This window comes from Homo sapiens, chromosome 6 (genome assembly GCF_000001405.40).
Source record: "Homo sapiens chromosome 6, GRCh38.p14 Primary Assembly".
In the NCBI taxonomy this organism is placed as follows: Eukaryota; Metazoa; Chordata; class Mammalia; order Primates; family Hominidae; genus Homo; species Homo sapiens.
Genome location: NC_000006.12, coordinates 122,455,597 through 122,473,790, shown reverse-complemented (window position 1 = coordinate 122,473,790; position 18,194 = coordinate 122,455,597). Strand labels below are relative to the sequence as shown.

The window sequence follows — 18,194 nt, the reverse complement described above, 5'->3', positions numbered from 1 at the left end:
TTATACGTGTGCTACAGGAAGTCACCTGGAGAAATGGGTGCTCCTACTAATAGCTGGTATATATTGAGAAAACTATGCTTTGAGCTGTGTTTGGGTTGAAATTTGAAAAAGTCATCATTTCAATTTTCTTTCATAGTTGGCAAAGAGAAAAATGAGACTGGTGTCGAAGACTCTTCTAACGAATAAAATAGTCTATATATACTGTCGTGTCCAATTAATGTTGTATATATAATAACTTAAGTGAGCAAATTCCACTCCACATAGCCTACAGGTTAAATAAAAGTAAATTTTTTTTAATGTATTTCAAGGCCAAGTGTTACATTCCAGAAAGATTAATATGACTTTTGTATTTAACTCTGAATATCTCAGGTGAAAAAACTCTATTGAATAGTGCAAGAACTTATGAATATCTCAGAAACCCTCTTAAATGGAGCAAGAGACAAGAATCTGTGCAAATTTAAATTTTAAGAGACCCATTCTCCATTTGGCTAATAAACATATTCTTTACGACCTTAAAGTTACTCACATATAAGTGTTTTTTGTCTCCTTCTCTGGTACTTTGAAAAGTTTAAGGACTTGAGATACTAGGATTCTCTTCTCCCATAAATAACGTATTAAGTTTAGCATAATTAAAAATATTGTTAGGTTTGTAATTTCCATTTCCACTATTCTTTTTTTTTGAGACGGAGTCTCGCTCTGCAGCCCAGGCTGGAGTGCAGTGGCCCAATCTCGGCTCACTGCAACCTCTGCCTCCCGGGTTCAAGCAGTTCTCCTGCCTCGCCTCCCGAGTAGCTGGGATTACATGCGCGTGCCACCATGCCCGGCTAATTTTTTGTATTTTTAGTAGAGATGGGGTTTCACCATGCTGGCCAGGCTGGTCTTGAACTCCTGGCCTTGTGACCCGCCTGCCTCAGCCTCCCAAAGTTCTGGGATTACAAGCATTTCCACAATTCTTTAAACCTTATGGATGCTCTATTATAATACTTTGCTTTAAGAGTGGTCTACAAAACCACAGATAAGGCAAAGAAGAATAAAGCAAGATTGTCCCTTAGTGGTTACAATAACTAGGAGTAGGGATTCTGACATTCTTCCAGATTCTTAGGTGTTTACCCCACCTCGACCCATGCAATTTTTGTAGATTTTACAACACTTTCTTATTATTAGTTATGGGAATGACTATTTCAAGTTTGAGCTGTTTCCCAGAATATTTTCAAGAACAAATAACTCTAAAAAAATAACTGGAACTTTTATAGGAATGCATTCCCTGCAGATGTGCATCATCACCTAATATGCAAGGGTTCCACATGCCTCAACAGCTCATGACATTCGAAATCAATGTTTGAGTTTGATAATGTCTTATCTAACTAATTAAAAATAATTTTAACGTGCAAATTTCTTGTAACATCTTAATAGCATAAGAAATTAAAATATAAGTCAATAGCAAACAGAAATGATACAGAGAAACTGAAGCACACAGATGAATATAAATATCCCAATAAAACTTGTTCCGGGCAGCGGGCTGCAGGAATACGTTGCAAACGCAAGAGCAAAACAGGATGCAAACGTGGGAAAAATGGGAAATAAGTGGAGTTAGGACGGACAAAGACTGAGAAAGAGGAAGCAATCCCCTAAAAAGCAGAGAGGTTCCTCAGATGAAGGAGGGCAAAACGTCAACCACCACCTCAGCTCTGTTCTCTACTAATGCCCAAATGCAAGTGCATGGTAGGTAAAGGTGGGTTTTGCTCACACCGTTTTCTTAATTTGGCAAACTACGGTCAGATCCACATTAGCCGTTAAGTTTCCAGCCAGCAGTCCTTGAGAAATTCTCCAGGAAAGAAGACAGCCGTGTCGTCTAGTGACGCGCATGCGCAGTCTCAGCGCTGCGCGCTCCGTGTTTTATCCTACCCAGGCCTGGAAGGAAGTGACGCGAGGCTGAGGGGCGGGTTGCGCTGTGCGTCCGGAAGTGTCTCGCAGATAGTAAATAATCTCGGAAAGGCGAGAAAGAAGCTGTCTCCATCTTGTCTGTATCCGCTGCTCTTGTGACGTTGTGGAGATGGGGAGCGTCCTGGGGCTGTGCTCCATGGCGAGCTGGGTAAGGTGCTTTTTGCGGCCTCTGGGGTGCTAGTGTGAGAGACCAAAGAGAAGGCGATCCGAGCCGGGGCTGGGTGAGCCCGGCGGGAATGTGGTGCCCCACCCAACAGGGAGTGCCCTCTCTGTCCCCGTTTTCTTCCCGTCTCCTCTCGTCACTCAGACTCAGCTTCAGAGCTTTGGGTCTTGCGAAGAACTGATCACTGGCCGTAAGGTTTAGTGGCGATGGGAAGATGACTCAAATTGAGGAAGAGAACTAGAATAGGGCCCCTCCCCCACCCCTGCTTCGTGAACGCTGTCTCCCATTCTTTGAGGTCCCTTTTCGTGGTTTTGTTTGTATCTGCGCAGGCCATCTCTACAAAGGTCTTTGCCCCTTTCCTTCGGTGGGGTACCCACTCTGTTGTCATCTCTTTCCTGGCGACCTCAGACTGCCGCACTGTCGTTCCTGGATTCATGTCGCCCTCTTTGTTCAGTGGCGCAGATTATGATTAAAAAGTGCCTGTCGTCATTTGGAACCGCCTGGCAGTAATGCTAATGTAGTAATATTGTTTTTGAAACAAATAGTCATAGCTCTGCCGTAACTGTTTGAAGTGTCAATTTCAGATTTCAACTTAAAATTGAAATTTCAGATGACACACGCATGCCTTGTGCCTAATGACAATTTTGTCTTTAGGCACAAAACATGCGTGTGTCATCTGAAATTTCATGCTTAATTAGCTGTACATTGCATTTTCATTAAAGAGTTGTTAGAGTAAAACTATTTTCAGTATAGTGGCAAGACTTTGGTCCGTGTGGCACAAATTTCAGTTTATTTAAGATAATCTCTGCCCCCTCCAAAATAGTAGGCAAAACATTGGCAGTGCAGTTAATAAAGATATTTGTAATTTTAGGCGAGGTATTTGGACTCAAATCACTTTTCTTTAGTCTGGAATTTGTTAATTCTGTTTCTAACAATTGCTTTTCTGACTTCCCAAATGATTCCGTTATATATACTCTTAAAGGTTTTGATATGTCTTGAACTAAAAATGTTGAATTTTAATCAAATAATAATGTGGGGATTGTTACTCCAGCCAGTCTGTTCTTTTGATTATATGGTATTTCTTCTTGCACGGAAGCCTGGAATATTTTATCTCAAGATATTAGAGAGTTTAATTATTGACTTTTATACAAAAGAGGCATATTTAGTGTGATAAACAGTTTTGAAAACTGATAATTGATTATCATATAAGATTGTTTTCATCGGTTTTTTATTGGAAGATGTTATGCAATTCAATTTGTAATGTCGTATCTTGTCCAGTTATGAAGTGGGCGTGCTGTAGTTTTTTGTATATAATAGAGATTTAAAAGATGAGATACATGTTTTCCCTTTTACAAAATAGATCGCCACCTTTATTGATTAGAAGAATGTCCGTGATAAAATTGACCCTGCCTTTTAGTTTCTGTGTTAATAGCGAAGTACATTAAAAAGGTAGAAGCAGTGAGGCAGTTTTTTAGAGATGGGGGTCTAAGTGTATTGGCCGGGCTGAAGTGCAGGGGATGGTCGTAGTGAACTGCAGCCTGGAACTGCTGGGCTTAAGTGTAACCTCAGCCTCCCAGGTAGCTGGTACTACAGGCAGGTGCTACCGTGCTCAGTTTGGAATTTATTTTATTGTTTGCAGTTTCAGTAATCTTTTTCCCTTTTCTTCCTTGTGCCTCTGTCTCTATTCATTAATTGTTTGATTTTACTGCAGGCCAATAGTCATTGAAGGGGACCATCTCTTCCACATTCTTAACAGTTAATGTGCTCATTTACTTAGAGGTTTTGATGAAATTAAAATTTATTCAGCTTTTCAAAAGTAACACTCAGAGCCTGCTGCAGTGGCTCACGCCTGTAATCCCAGCACTTGGGAGGATGAGGTGGATGGATCACTTGATGTCAGGAGTGGGAGACCGCCTGGTCAATATGGTGAAACCCCGTCTCTACTAAAAATACAAAAAAAAATAGCTGGGTATGGTGGCACATGCCTGTAGTCCCAGCTACTCGGGAGGCTGAGGCAGGAGAATTGCTTGAACTGGGAGACGGAGGTTGCAGTGAGCTGAGATCATGCCACTGCACTCCAGCCTGGGCAACAGAGCAAGACTCCATCTCAGAAAACAAAACAAAACAAAACAAAAAAACAAAAATCAGCCGGATGTGGTGGCGCACACCTGTAATCCCACTCGGGTGGCTGAGGCAGGAGAATCTCTTAAGCCCAGGAGGCGGAGGCTGCAGTGAGCCAAGATGGCGCCACTGCACTCCAGCCTGGGCAACAGAGTGAGACTCTGTGTCAAAAAAAAAAAAAACAAAAACAAAAAACAGAACAAAAAAAAAGTAACATTCAAATCATTAAATTAGATCAGGTAAGCCAGAATTAAAAACAAACCAACCTCATTCTTAATTAGTACAAGTTTCTGCAGGCTTAATCAAATTTAGTAAAAGTTTTTTCCTTATTTATAAAATAATTGTAGAAAATGTCTGAACTATAAAGAGACAAATTATGTGTAATACCACTGAGCAGAAATTGGAGTGTTAAATTGTTCACTTTTTGTTTGCTGCTAAGAGACCTAGAATTAGATTGATCATAATCCTTGGTTCATGGCAGTATAATTTTTTATTCATGCATGGTTGTCTCTTTTTTTGATTGTTAATTACTTTAAACATTATAAACATCATACCAACTAATCCTATAACTATAACATTACCAATCACTAATACCTACTTACATGCTTTTCCCCATCCCAGTCTCAACATTGGTATTAGTGAGTAGACAGAATTGATTTTTTTTTTGAATGGGTGAGCCTTATATACAATACCTATCAAGATATTTAGTTTAGTTAAGTCGTTAAGAACTAGTGATTACTGAGTGCGTATTTTTTGCCAACCTCCTAAATTTTTGTTAATACAGTGACTTGTTTTATAGAAATGATTTATAGTTGCTATGAATGGTCAAGCAATGCAGAGTAGAAATTAAATAAAAATGTCCCCCCAAAATCTTCCTTCTCTCTCAATGCATGGGTGCATTGTGTATTTGTATACACATGGGTGGATGAATAGACAAAAATATATTCTTAGGAATGGCAGCATCTTAAACATATTTTTAAGCAAAGCATTGAATTTAATGTTTCTTGAATTTAACAAAAAAAAAAGTAATTCTTAAATGTTAACATTTGTCAGGAGAGTTTCTTAAAAAGATTCTTCTAAGGAGGTGTTTCCATAGCAGTGATTTTCAACTGGACACAGTTTTGCTCCCCAGTGGGCATTTGGCAATATCTGCAGACATTTTTCATTGTCACAACCTGGGGTGAGGCGTGCCACTAGCATCTAGTTAGTTGGTAGAGGACAAGGATGCTGCTAAATCTACAATGTATAGGATAGCCCCCAACAACAAATAATTATTCAGCCCAAAATAGCAATAACAACATGGTTAAGAAAGTCTGGTTTAAGTTTAAGAAAAACATTGTATAAGACATTGAAGTTGGAGTAACTTTTTAAGGACATTTTAATTTTAGATTCACTTCTCTGAAAGGTGGAACAAATCAATATTCACCCATTCCCCTAGTTCCCAGGTTTAATTAATTGTATCATTTTTAAATTTTTTAATTCATAATTCTGTATGTACATACTTCTCTATGCGCTTAAGAAAAATAGTATACCACTCCCATTTCCTCCCTTTGGAGACAGTATTTCTTTTGGTATTTATTGCCGTATTTCTAATTAACATACATATAGTGTATTCTTGATTTTGTTTATTTGTTTTAGACATTGTCTTCTAACTATGGAAGACGAAGATTTAGCAGTCATCCCTTGATTTCAACTGGCCCTCATCCCTACCCCCACCAAAATCACACACACACATTGATGTCCCCATAGCTTTCCATAATACTAAATAATTTTGGTAAATGAACATTATTGTGACTATTTAAATAAGTTTATATATGTAAAGCTGTAGCAAGCACTTACATGTTAGTTCTTTATTTGTGTAATGCTCTTCATAGGTCAGCCTTGTACTAAATATGCAATGACTTTTCCTTTCATGCACAACATTTTTTGTTCATTGGTTTGCTTTCTTTTCTTTTTTTGACAGAATCTCACTGCATTGCCCAGGCTGGAGTGCAGTGGCGCGATCTCAGCTCACTGCGACTTTGAACCTTCCGGGTTCAAGTGATTCGCTTGCCTCAGCCTCCTGAGTAGCTGGGATTACAGGCATGTGCCACCACACCCAGCTAATTTTTATATTTTTAGTAGAGATGGTGTTTTGTCATGTTGGCCAGGCTGGTCTCAGAACTCCTAGCCTCAAGTGATCCACCTGCCTTGGCCTCCCGAAGTGCTGGGATTATAGGTGTGAGCCACCGCACCCAGCCTATTTTCAGTGTATTTAAATTATTTAACCTCAGACTTTTCCCCAGCTGTATGCATCTCTAAGTTCAGATACATGTCATGATTGATCGAACCTTGGAGGTTATCTCTCCCAGAATCTTCTGACCTGCTCTAGTCTATAGTCAACTGTTTTCATCCTGGATCTCACTTTATCCTCTAATGAGGATGTACATTTCCTCTCTCTTAGGTTGAAACCCTTTTTTTCTTCATTGCTTGTATTCATTTGGTTGACGACCATGTTTTGGTATAATGCTCCTTGACAGAACCACATAGGAGGTACACTTTGGTCATAGAAGTCTAGATTGGAAGTCATTTTCCCTCAGAATTTTGATGCTCCTTTGTAGACTTGTAGTCTTGCTGCTGGGTATTCTGAAGTCATTTTAGAAACTTTTTCTGTATGACCTTTCCATCCTTCACTTCTCCACCAGTTAATTACATTTCTTGAATTCTTTAATTTTCTCACCTGTATTTTCTACATTGTCTTTCTGTTATTCACATATTATGCTTCCTGGACTGAAACTCTAGGTTTCTTCCTTTCTGCTTTCCATCTCATTGGCTTTTTGCACGGCTTTCTGAGAAATTTCCTTGATTGTTTTCAGAACTTCCGTTGAATTTTATTTTTTAAATTTTTTTATTGACTGATTGGACTTCTGTTGAATTTTTAAACCTCTGCTATAGGGGCAGTGTGCTCACACCTATAATCTTAGCACTTTGGGAGGCCAAGGTAGGCAGATCACTTGAGCTCAGGCCTTGGCAACATGGCAAAACACTGTCTATACAAAAAATACAAAAAAATTAGCCAGGCGTGGTGGTGCGTGCTTATGGTCCCAGCTACACCCAGCGTATCTGTGATCTCAGCTTCTGTAGAGGCTGAGGTGGGGGGATCACCTAAACCCAGGGAGGTTGTGGCTTCAGTGAGCTGTAATCATGCCACTGCACTCTAGTAAAGCCTACATTCCAGCCTGGACGACAGAGTGAGACTCTGTCTCAAAAAACAAACAACAACAAAAACCTCTGCTGTAACATTTTTAATTACCAAGAGTCTGTTTTGTTCTCTGTTTCACCTAGTCTTGCTTTGTTGCCCGGGATGGAGCGTAGTGGCGTGATCTCGGCTCACTGAAACTTCCGCCTCCCAAGTTCGAGCAATTCCGCCTCCCAAGTTCAAATGCCTCAGCCTTCTGAGTAGCTGGGACTATAGGTGCACAACACCATCCCTGGGTAATTTTTGTATTTTTAGTAGAGACTGTTTCACCATGTTGGCCAGGCTGGTCTTGAACTCCTGACCTCAAGTGATCTGCCAGCCTCAGCCTCCCAAAGTGCTGGGATTACAGGTGTGAGCCACCGTTCCTGGCCTCTGTTCCATTTTTATAGCATCCTGTGGTTGTTTCATGGAAGCAAGCTTTCTCCCTTTTTAAAAAAATCTTTATTTTTATCTTTATGATATACCCTGTACTATATAGTTTATTAATATACTCTGTAAGTATATTAAAAATACCAAATTTTTTATGCTTTTATGTCTGCCTATAATTTCTTTTCAAGTTTCTCCTATCCACTCCTCCCACTTTCATTGATCTTAGTGTTTTCCGGAGTATTCAGTGGTCAGTAGCTATTTGTTCATATTTAGGAGTGGGACACTCAAGAGCTTGGTGTAGGACTTGTCAGCTGTGACTACCGTGAAGTGATCTGGCTCAACCAGTTTATTGTGGAAGCCTAATGCAGATATTTATCTAGGGCTATTGATAGATCCAGGGTACACTTCCAGTCTCCAACCTGGGGAATATACCTGCATTCTGGAAGGCAAGTGACGGAAAGAATGATGAGGTTCTTCACATTCAGTACATAAAATTTGACTTAATTTTATGTTTTTAGTATGGAACCCCTTCTGTCAACTCTACTTGGTGTTTCCCTGTCAAACCTCATGTTTTATTCTTTCAGGTGACTAGTGCAAGAAATGGAATGAAATCTGGGAGTCTTAACTGCTCTTTGGAAAGACATTCAACCAATCATCTATTTTTACTATACCTTTAGTGTCACTTACAGAGACTCCTGGTGCCACCAGTTCCTGAACTATTTGGGGATTCTGCCAAATGAATTGTGTTGCTCGTTAACTTTTTCCTTTGATAACTTAGAATTCAGCTTTCTCTGTTAAGGTTGTTACTACTTCGTAGTTTCTACTTCCTAGATTTGTTCTGGGAAGAACAAAACAAAAGAACTAGAACAAAAGATCTAGTTCTTTTTGACTTTTACATTTTATTCTTTCTTTTTTAAAGAAAAAAAACCCCAAACCTTTATTTTTTATTTTATTGGGATTTCTAGAGTGAACATAGGTAAATTAATATATTCAGTCTGCCATCTTTAACTAGAAGCACTTTGTACTATTATTTTTATGTTGCCATTATCTTATACCCTAGAAACATTGACTGGGGGCATTCTATGTTTTAATAAGCCCTCCAGGTAATTCTGGTAGTTGTTACAGTTTGAGAACCAGTGCTCTAAACTTAAGTGGATGCAAAGCTCTCTACCAGTCCTTGGCTTACCATTGCTTTGCTCTAATTTTTTATTTTAATGTCATCTCCTAATTGACCACATTTTGTCATCAGTAGATTTTTCAAAAAGGATTTATTGGTGCCGGAATCTCTAAGTTCTTTGGTTTTTGAAAGTGCCTGCTAAATTCTTGAGAGACATTTTGGACTGGTATAATATAGTATACGAATTTCCTTCAGAACTTTGTAGTTATTTCTCTTTCGTATTCTGTCTTATATCAGCCTGGTTTCCACACCGTCCCTCTGCACGTGCATAGGTGGTTTGTTTCCTCTGCCTGAGTAGCTGAAGAGTTTTTGTTTATCTTAGAAATTAAATAACCAGATAAGTCTGAGTTTAAATCTTTTATCACTTTTTTTCCCCTTCTCAAAAAGTAGTGTGCTCTTTTGATGCACAGATTATTTTTCCATCTAAGGAATTTTTCTTATATTAGATCTGTGAATATCCTTTAATTCATTTATTTAGAGGATTCTCTATTTTAAGGACTTTTTTTAGTTAAGGTATAATTTACATACAGTAGAATTTACTCTTTGTAATATACAGTTCCATGAGTTTTGACAAATGCATCTCTAGTCGTGTAACCGTTTTGGAACATCGATCATCCTAAAAAATTGCACTGTCCTGTCCTTGGCAACCCCTATTTTCTGTCTTTAGGATTTTGCCTTTCTAGAGTGTCATATTAATGGAATCCTACAATATATAGTCTTTGAGTCTGGCTTCTTTTACTTAGCACATAATGAGTTTCATTCTCCGTATGTTTTTATTGTTGAATATTGTTTTTGTTTGGATGTACCACAATTTATCCATTCACCATTTGAGGAGCCTTTCTAGGTTTTGATGATTACAAATAAAGTAGCTATAAGCATTCCCATCAAGGTTTTTTTGTGTAATTATAAGTTCTTATTTCACTTGAATAAATATCTGAGTGTGGATTTGCTTATTCATACAGTAAGTGCATGTTTGATTTAAAAATAAGAAACAGTCAAACTGGTTTCCAAAATGGTTGTACCATTTTTCATTCCCGCCACCAAAGTAAGAGAGTTCTAGTTGCTCTGCATTCTTGTCAGTAGTTGGTATCATCAGTTTATTTCATTTTAGCCGTTCTAATATGCATGCAGTAGTATCTCTGATTTTAATGTACATTTCCCTAATAATGATATTGAGCACTTTTTCTTTGCTTATTTGCTGTCTATATGCCTTTTATTAAAGTATCTGTTTAAATATTTTGCCCATTTTTAATTGAGTTGTTTGTTTTCTTATCACTGAGTTTTTAGAGTTCTTTTTATATTCTGGATGCCGATGATTTATCATGTACCTCACTTGCAAGTATTTTCAAGTTTATGGCTTGCTTTTTCATTCTCAGCAGTGTGTTTCAAAGAGCAAAAGTTCTTAATTTTGATGAAGCCCAATTCATTTGTTTTTCTTTTGTGAGTCCTGTTTTTTATATGGTATCTAGGAAATCTTAATTCTCATATATGGTTTGATTATGGCTTAAGGTTAACTTTCTAAAAAATGTATGAATATCCAATTATTTCAGCAACATCTGTTAAAAAGATTATCCTTTCCATAGTGAATTGCTTTGGTATCTTTGTCAAAAATCCTTTGATTATATTTGCATGAATCTATTTCTGAACTTTATTGTGTTCTACTTAGTGTGTCCACCCTTTTCCCTATATCACTCTGTTTTAATTACTGTCACTTTAATGCTAGTCTTGAAATCAGGTAGTGTGTCTTTTAACTTTGTTCTTTTTTCAGACTTGTTTGAGCTATTCTGGTGTTTTTTGCCTGTTCAGCTAGTTTATTTCTGTAAATCTGATGTTGGGATTGTGATTGGAATTGGGCTGAATCTATAGATAAGTTTGGAAAGACCTGATATCTTGAAAATAATTGTCTTCCAACTATGAACTCTGTATATTTTGCCATTCATTTAGGTCTTTGATTTCTTTCACCAATGTTTTGTAGTTTTCATTATTTGAGATCTTGTCTATGTTTTGTTAGATTTATAACTATTTTCTTTTTGTTTTCAGTTATTACTAATACGTAGAAACATGATTGTGTATATTGACTTTTTATCATGTGACCTTATTAAACCGATGAGTTAGTTCTAGTTGCATTTTTGTAGGTTCTTTGTGGGGTATTTTTATTGTTTTTATTTGTTTTGTTTTGTTGTCATCCAGACTCGAGTGCAGTGGCGCTATCATTGAACTCCTTGAACTCCTAGGCTCAAATGGTCCTCCTGCCTCAGCTTCCCAAATTGCTGGGATTACAGGTGTGAGCCATGGTGTATGGCCCTCTTTGGGATTTTCTATATAGACAGTTGTGTTATATGTGAAGAGGGCAGTTTCGTGTCTTCCATTCCAATTTTTATGTTTTATTTTCTTTCTTGCCTCATTATATTGGCTGGGACCTCCAGTGTGAAGTTGAATTCAAATGGTGAGAGAGGTATTTTGCCTTGTTTGATGTCTTACAGGGAAAGCATTCAGACTTTCGTCATTAATTATGGGTGAGAGCTATAGGTATTTGTAAATGCCATTTATCAAGTTAAGGATGTTATCTTCTATTCTTTGCTGACAGTTTATATCATGAATAGGTATTGAATTTTGTCAAATGGTTTTTCTGTATCTATTGAGATGACCTTGTTTTTTTTCTTTAGTCTGTTTATACAGTAGAGGTCATTGGTTGATTTTTAAAAGTGGAACCAGCCTTGCTTTTCCAGGCTAAACTCTACCTGGTGGCAATATATTATCCTTTTTATATACTTTCATATTGCTGTTTTTGACTTGCTAAAATATCATTAAGAATTTTTTTGTGTATGTTTATGAGGGATATCGGTCTATTATTTTCTTATGATGTCTTTGGATTTAGTCTCTGTAATTCTGGCCCATTTTTTTAAATAAGAAGAATATGTCTCTTTCATATTCCTTTGTATGCAAATCCAAATTTCTCTCTGGTATAATTTTCTTTCTTGGAGGATTTCCTTCAACATTTCTGGTAGTTTAATTCTGCTTGTTTGGATTATTTTGTCTTTTCTATTCCTGAAAATGTCTTTATTTTGCCTTAATTTTTGGAAGATATTTTCACTGAGTATAAAATTCTTTTTTTTTTTTATTATACTTTAAGTTTTAGGGTACATGTGCACATTGTGCAGGTTAGTTACATATGTATACATGTGCCATGCTGGTGCGCTGCACCCACTAACTCGTCATCTAGCATTAGGTATATCTCCCAATGCTATCCCTCCCCCCTCCCCCAACCCCACCACAGTCCCCAGAGTATGATATTCCCCTTCCTGTGTCCATGTGATCTCACTGTTCAATTCACACCTATCAGTGAGAATATGCGTACAAAATTCTATGTTTACATATTTTTTTCTTTCGGTACTGATTTTAGGCTTGAACCGTTTCTTACTAGAAGTGTGATTTATTTCTTTGTTCCTCAGTTTATAATGTACATTTTATTTTTCTGCCTACTTTTAAGATTTTTCTGATTATTACTTTTTTAAGTAATTTGATTATGATGTGACTTGGTGTGGTTTTCATGTTTATTTTGCTAGGGCTTTGTTGAGTTTCCTGGATCTGTGAGTTTATCGTTTTCATAAATTTGGAAAAATTTGGGCAATTACTTCCTCAGAAGCACCTTTGTGTCACTTCTCTCCAATTGAAGTTCATTTCAGGGACTCTAATTTCACTTATATTAGGCTATTTAAAGTTGTCTCACAATGTTCTGATCCTTTTCTTATTTTTATCTCTCTTTCATTTTGGATCATTTATTTTCTTATGTCTTCAGGTTCATTATTAATCTTTTCTTCTGTCTTGTCAATATTTAGGGGGCTTATTTTATCATCTGGAGAAGTATGATATGGGTCTTAATTTTAAATTATCTTCCATGTCTGTCCGTAACATTATCAAGTTTTCCTCTACTTCCTTGAGCATGTGATATATACTTAACAGTAATACTACAATGCCCTATTTATAAATGAACTCAGTTATCTATATCATTTCCAGGTTGATATTGACTGATTGATCCTCATTATAGGTTGTATTTTTCTGGTTTTTGCATGCCTGCTAATTTTTTGTTAGCTTTCCAGTGTAAATTTTTCCTTGATCAGCGCTGGATATACTTTTATTTTCAAAAAAATATTCTTGGGCTTTTATCTTTGACTTGGGTGATTTTACTTAGAGACAGTGTGATCTTTTTATTTGCCTTTAGGTTTCGTTAAGTGCAACTAGTGCAGCCTTTAGTTTGATGGCTGATTTTTCTCCAGTATTAATTGCCTTCTGATATCTTTACCCAATGCCTCATGGATTACAAAGTTTTTCACCTCTGGGTGGTAAAATTCTCAGACCCTCCCTGCAGTGAACATTCTCCCTAGGCAGAAATAAGGGCCACTTGGCTGGGCGCGGTGGGCCACACCTGTAATCCCAGCACTTTGGGAGGCCGAGGTAGGCGGATCACCTGAGGTCAGGAGACCAGCCTGGCCAACATGGTGAAACCCTGTCTACTAAAACTACAAAAAAATACAAAAATTAGCCGGGTGTGGTGGTGCACGCCTGCAATCCCAGCTACTCAGGAGGCTGAGGCAGGAAAATCCCTTGAACCCGGAGTGGGTGGGGGAAGGTTGCAGTGAGCTGAGATCGCACCACTGCACTCCAGCCTGGGTGACAGAAGGAGACTGTGTAAATCAATCAATTAATCAATAAAATAAGGGCCAGTCATAGGGCTCACATTGTCTCCTCTTAGAAATTGCTGGCTTTACATTGCCTGTTGTTCATTGTCTGAAAAACTTATTTTTTCCATTGTTTAAGTCAGGAGGATAAGTCTGGTCATGGTTTCTCCATCTTGACCTGAATTTATAGTAATTATCCCAAGCCTTTTTTCATCAGTAATTTTATGTTTACCTATGTCTGTTTTGTTTCTTGATAGTTACTAGTTAAGTCCGTTTTTTCCCTTCTCATTTCTTTAGCCCTTTGATTTCCACTTTCCATTGTGTTCTGTTCTTACTTCATTTTTGAGGTCTCCTTTTTTAACAAAAAATATTTTTTATTTTTCTGTAGCTCAAATGAAATACTGGTAGGGGATTTCCTTTTCTTACTGGATTATATTTATTTCAGACTGAATTCTTCATATGCCTTATATTTTCTTCATTCCTTTTTCTGAGGGGAGATGTTTATGTTTAACTTTTGCTAAAGTATATTTACATAGTTGCCATGACATGTATTTCCGTTTTGTGGACGTTTAATATAAAGCAGCTTTATTCTTACCTTATATTGGTTGGTGTAGTGGTCTGGCTTCTACAACATTCCCTTACTGTGATATCTAAGACTCTTTTCCCCTAGAGCTGTAATTCTAGGGCTGGAAGATCTGGTTCATCCACCTTCTAGAAGTCTGACATCTCAGCCCAGGTTATGATATTATGAGAATATTTACTCTGTGGCTTTCTTAGATACTGTTAAATACTCTGTACCAGTGTTCCTCTCTCCTAGACAGGAAGATATTCTGTTCCCTTGGGGGCATACTGCTAGTTTAGTGTGGTGGTTACTGGAGAAAAGCTAGCCCCAGTTGTATTATTATCCTTTTTGCCTCACTCTAGTTGTAGTTTTCATTATTATCACTATCGCCAGGTCAAAAGAAGGAAAATATATCAATTCACTTTTTTTTCCCTCCCTGGATGTATTTGAGAATCCTCGGAATTTTTTGTATTCATCAGTCTAGTATCTGGGGGCTAAAGGTCAGGGGCTGGAGGTGGGCTTAGCAGCTGTGCTACTCATGAATATTCCATTTCTTTTCCTCTTTAAACTTTGGTTACTGCTGATGATTTTTTCCCCTTTTTGTTTTAGCTGATTTGTCCGTTTTACTTGGCATAGAGTCCAAGGATTTTTTTTGTCTTTACTCCTTCTTAGAAGTTGCTAAGTTTTGTGGTATATAGATAATTTATATGAACCAAATACCGTATGTCCCTTGATGTAATTACTTTTAGTCTTTTTTCTTTTTTAACAGATAGAATGTCAATTTTCATTGTATCATTTTAAGATATAGTGATTTACTGATTCTTAATAATATTTTCAATAATATTCTTTTTCCCAGATACCATGTTTGTGTGGAAGTGCCCCGTGTTTGCTATGCCGATGCTGTCCTAGTGGAAACAACTCCACTGTAACTAGATTGATCTATGCACTTTTCTTGCTTGTTGGAGTATGTGTAGCTTGTGTAATGTTGATACCAGGAATGGAAGAACAACTGAATAAGGTTAGTCTCGTTTCTTATTTATTGATTAACTGAGGCTATAGGGTATATATGTATATGTATAAAATTGATTCGGGGATATTGTAAACAGAATAATATAGAATAAGACAGTATGTAATCCTAGTTGTAGTTCATAATCTTTTAGGAAAAAGATAATATACATTAGTTTGTTAAGTTCTATGATGGTGGTACAGGAAATGTACTGTGGTAATACACAGAAAGAAGTATAATTCTAACCAGGTGTCAGAATCTCAATGGGTCATGGAAAAAAGGATGTTCTAAGAATGATTAGAACTTGCATATACAGAGATTGAAAAATAGAAAGCATAATGAGTATAAAAGAGCTTTTCAAGCAAAGTATCTATACTTTAGGAAGATTAATCTTACAATTAATAAAGTATAAAAGTCAAGCAGTTAAATATGGAGGCTGTTGCAGTGGTATAATCAAGAAGAGAATAGCGGACCTGAAATAAGATTTTCTGGATGTAAAATTGACTGAGCCTAGCACTGAAATATTGGCAGTGATATGGAATCATAAATAACAACCAGGTTCTGGTCCTACAAAACCGGGAGGAAAGTATTGCTATTAACCTAGAAAGGAAAATTTTTAGAGAGAGTCAGGTTGTGGAAGGAGATTGGGAACACATAATAAATTTAGTTTCTAACATGTTGACTTGGTGGTATTGTATCGTGTACATGTATATATATATATATATATGTATGTCTTACTCAGTTCAGGCTGCTATAACAAGAATATCATAGGCTGGGTGGCTTAAGACAACAAAAATTTATTTCTCAGTTTTGGAGGCTGAAAGTCCGAGATCAGGGTGCCACCATGGTCAAGTTCTGATGAGGATCTTATTCCTGGTTTACACATGGCCATCTTACATTTTTGAAAGAAAGCAGCAGCTCTCTTCTGTCTGTTTTTATAAGGGCATTAATCCCATCCTGAGGGCTCTACCCTCATGATTTAATTACCACATAAAGGCCCTATCTCCCACTATCCTCCCATTGAGGGTTAGAGTTTCAGCATTTAATTTTGGGTAGACACAAACACGAAGTCCATAATAATATACAGCAGTAAGTAGAAAACATGAAGGAATTTAAAAGAGAAATCAGAGCTAGAGACTGCCTTGAGGATAGAAATTGAATGTTGAAACCATGGCAGCGTATGCTGAAGATCATTCAGAGTGAGCAGAGCTAGAACTCTGCCAAAATCTCTTACTTAAGGGAGTTAGTGGAGAAAGGAAAACCTGATTCTGATCCTAGAAAACTGGGAGGGAAGGGATAACAGAAAAGAACAAAGAAAATGTATAGGTTCTAGGAAGAAAGTTTTAAGAATGACAGGGATAGTGTCTATATAAAAATGAGATTAAGGAATGTGATTAAGCAGTAGCCTTTGGGTTTGGAAACCAGTACATGACTAGTATCCTGGAAAAGCAGTTTTTTTAGAGTGCTGGGACTGGAAAGAGTGGGAGGAAATAATTTATTCTTATATATATGAATAATAGATGTATTAATAGTTCTGAACAGTAGTCTCAGAAATAGCACTTACACTACTAAAACAAGTCTATCGTGCTATTCAAGTAGAATGCAAGTTTTTAAAATGTAGGATAAATCTATAACTCAAAATAAGCAACCAGCATAGAGTTGGTATTGTAGTTTATGATTTGCGCAGATGGGGATTTAACTCTTTTTTCCCCACTGTATGTGATTAAAATGTATCAGACTCATCTTGAGTACATATTCATCATAAATTGTAAAGCAAATGCCAGTTTTCTAAACCTTTACTTAAACTATTTGATTACATGTAATTTTTATTTTTACTTAATGAAAAAAAATGATGGATCATAAACTCTTTTGTTTTTCTAGATTCCTGGATTTTGTGAGAATGAGAAAGGTGTTGTCCCTTGTAACATTTTGGTTGGCTATAAAGCTGTATATCGTTTGTGCTTTGGTTTGGCTATGTTCTATCTTCTTCTCTCTTTACTAATGATCAAAGTGAAGAGTAGCAGTGATCCTAGAGCTGCAGTGCACAATGGGTAAGTTTTTAAATAAGCTTCAATATAAAAGCTTGGGTAGCCTCTTCTTGATAATTGCCAGTTTATCCAAGGAAACTTTAAGGTAAAATAAACTTATACAATTTGCAGAATTACTTTATTCATGAATGACAGGATAAGAAAATCTTGTTTTTACTGGAGAATGTCAGACTTTGGATATTAAATAATAGCTGTGATAACCTCTGATCCACAGTGTTTTATATTTTCATACTAAAAAAGAGGCTCTATTATATTTGTGACTACTAAGGGAATAGCTATTTCTCCTTCTACTGTTAACTTTAGGTGGACCAGTCCACTTACATAGAACTCTCAGTTCCCTAGACCCAGAGAGCAGATTTTTCTAGGTTGGTTGTATTGGACAACCCAGAAAGAAACTTCAGGGTTTCTTTTATCAATCTTCCTTCATATAGAGCACTACTTCTGGTACCCTTATTTGACTGTTTTAATATCTGCTGTTGCTTATCTAGTTATATGTGCTACCAAAGACAAAAAGTATAAACAAGTAGAATATAAATATTAATGAGAAAATATGTGACGGGTTGCTTTTCCTTTATTTTGTTCCTTTGGTCATTGATTATTTTATTAAATTATTAGAGTTTTAGATGGAGGCATTTATCATGTGTTTATAAAAACTATTCATTTATACAGTTCACCTTATACTTTGATACATTATCCCACTTATGTGAAATAAGCCTGTGAAATGGAACTAACATTCTCATTTTTCCATAATGAATTAGTGAGAAATACATCTTTCTCAAAATGGTCTTAAAAGCAGTTTATGTAATTGTTGTTTTTTCTGATAATCAAGTGTATTAGGGTTCTCTAGAGGGACAGAACTAATAGGATAGATAGATATATATAAAGGG

General features: G+C 36.8%; 2 protein-coding genes across 5 annotated transcripts in view, besides 2 other annotated features; one reads left to right on the top strand and one right to left on the bottom strand.

Moving 5' to 3' along the window:
* The window catches only part of PKIB (cAMP-dependent protein kinase inhibitor beta), a 254,453-nt gene extending 252,583 nt beyond the window's left edge, over positions 1-1,870 (bottom strand). For all 4 annotated transcript variants that reach the window (NM_001270393.2, XM_047419002.1, NM_001270394.2 and 1 more), the window contains exon 1: positions 1,750-1,870. The gene's annotated coding sequence lies outside the window, so the exon portion shown is untranslated. The remainder of the gene's footprint in view (positions 1-1,749) is intronic.
* Positions 1,825-1,884: an enhancer, noted in NCBI's record as "active region_25021". NCBI's record gives its function as "activates an Ori minimal core promoter by ATAC-STARR-seq in GM12878 lymphoblastoid cells {active_cell/tissue: GM12878}" and the evidence as "EXISTENCE:reporter gene assay evidence [ECO:0000049][PMID:35858748]".
* Positions 1,935-2,334: an enhancer, noted in NCBI's record as "active region_25020". NCBI's record gives its function as "activates an Ori minimal core promoter by ATAC-STARR-seq in GM12878 lymphoblastoid cells {active_cell/tissue: GM12878}" and the evidence as "EXISTENCE:reporter gene assay evidence [ECO:0000049][PMID:35858748]".
* The window catches only part of SERINC1 (serine incorporator 1), a 28,457-nt gene continuing 12,246 nt past the window's right edge, over positions 1,984-18,194 (top strand). The window contains exons 1-3 of the mRNA NM_020755.4: positions 1,984-2,092; positions 15,110-15,271; positions 17,141-17,310. Coding sequence (NP_065806.1) covers positions 2,054-2,092; positions 15,110-15,271; positions 17,141-17,310 — 371 coding nt within the window. The 5' untranslated portion in view covers positions 1,984-2,053. The remainder of the gene's footprint in view (positions 2,093-15,109; positions 15,272-17,140; positions 17,311-18,194) is intronic.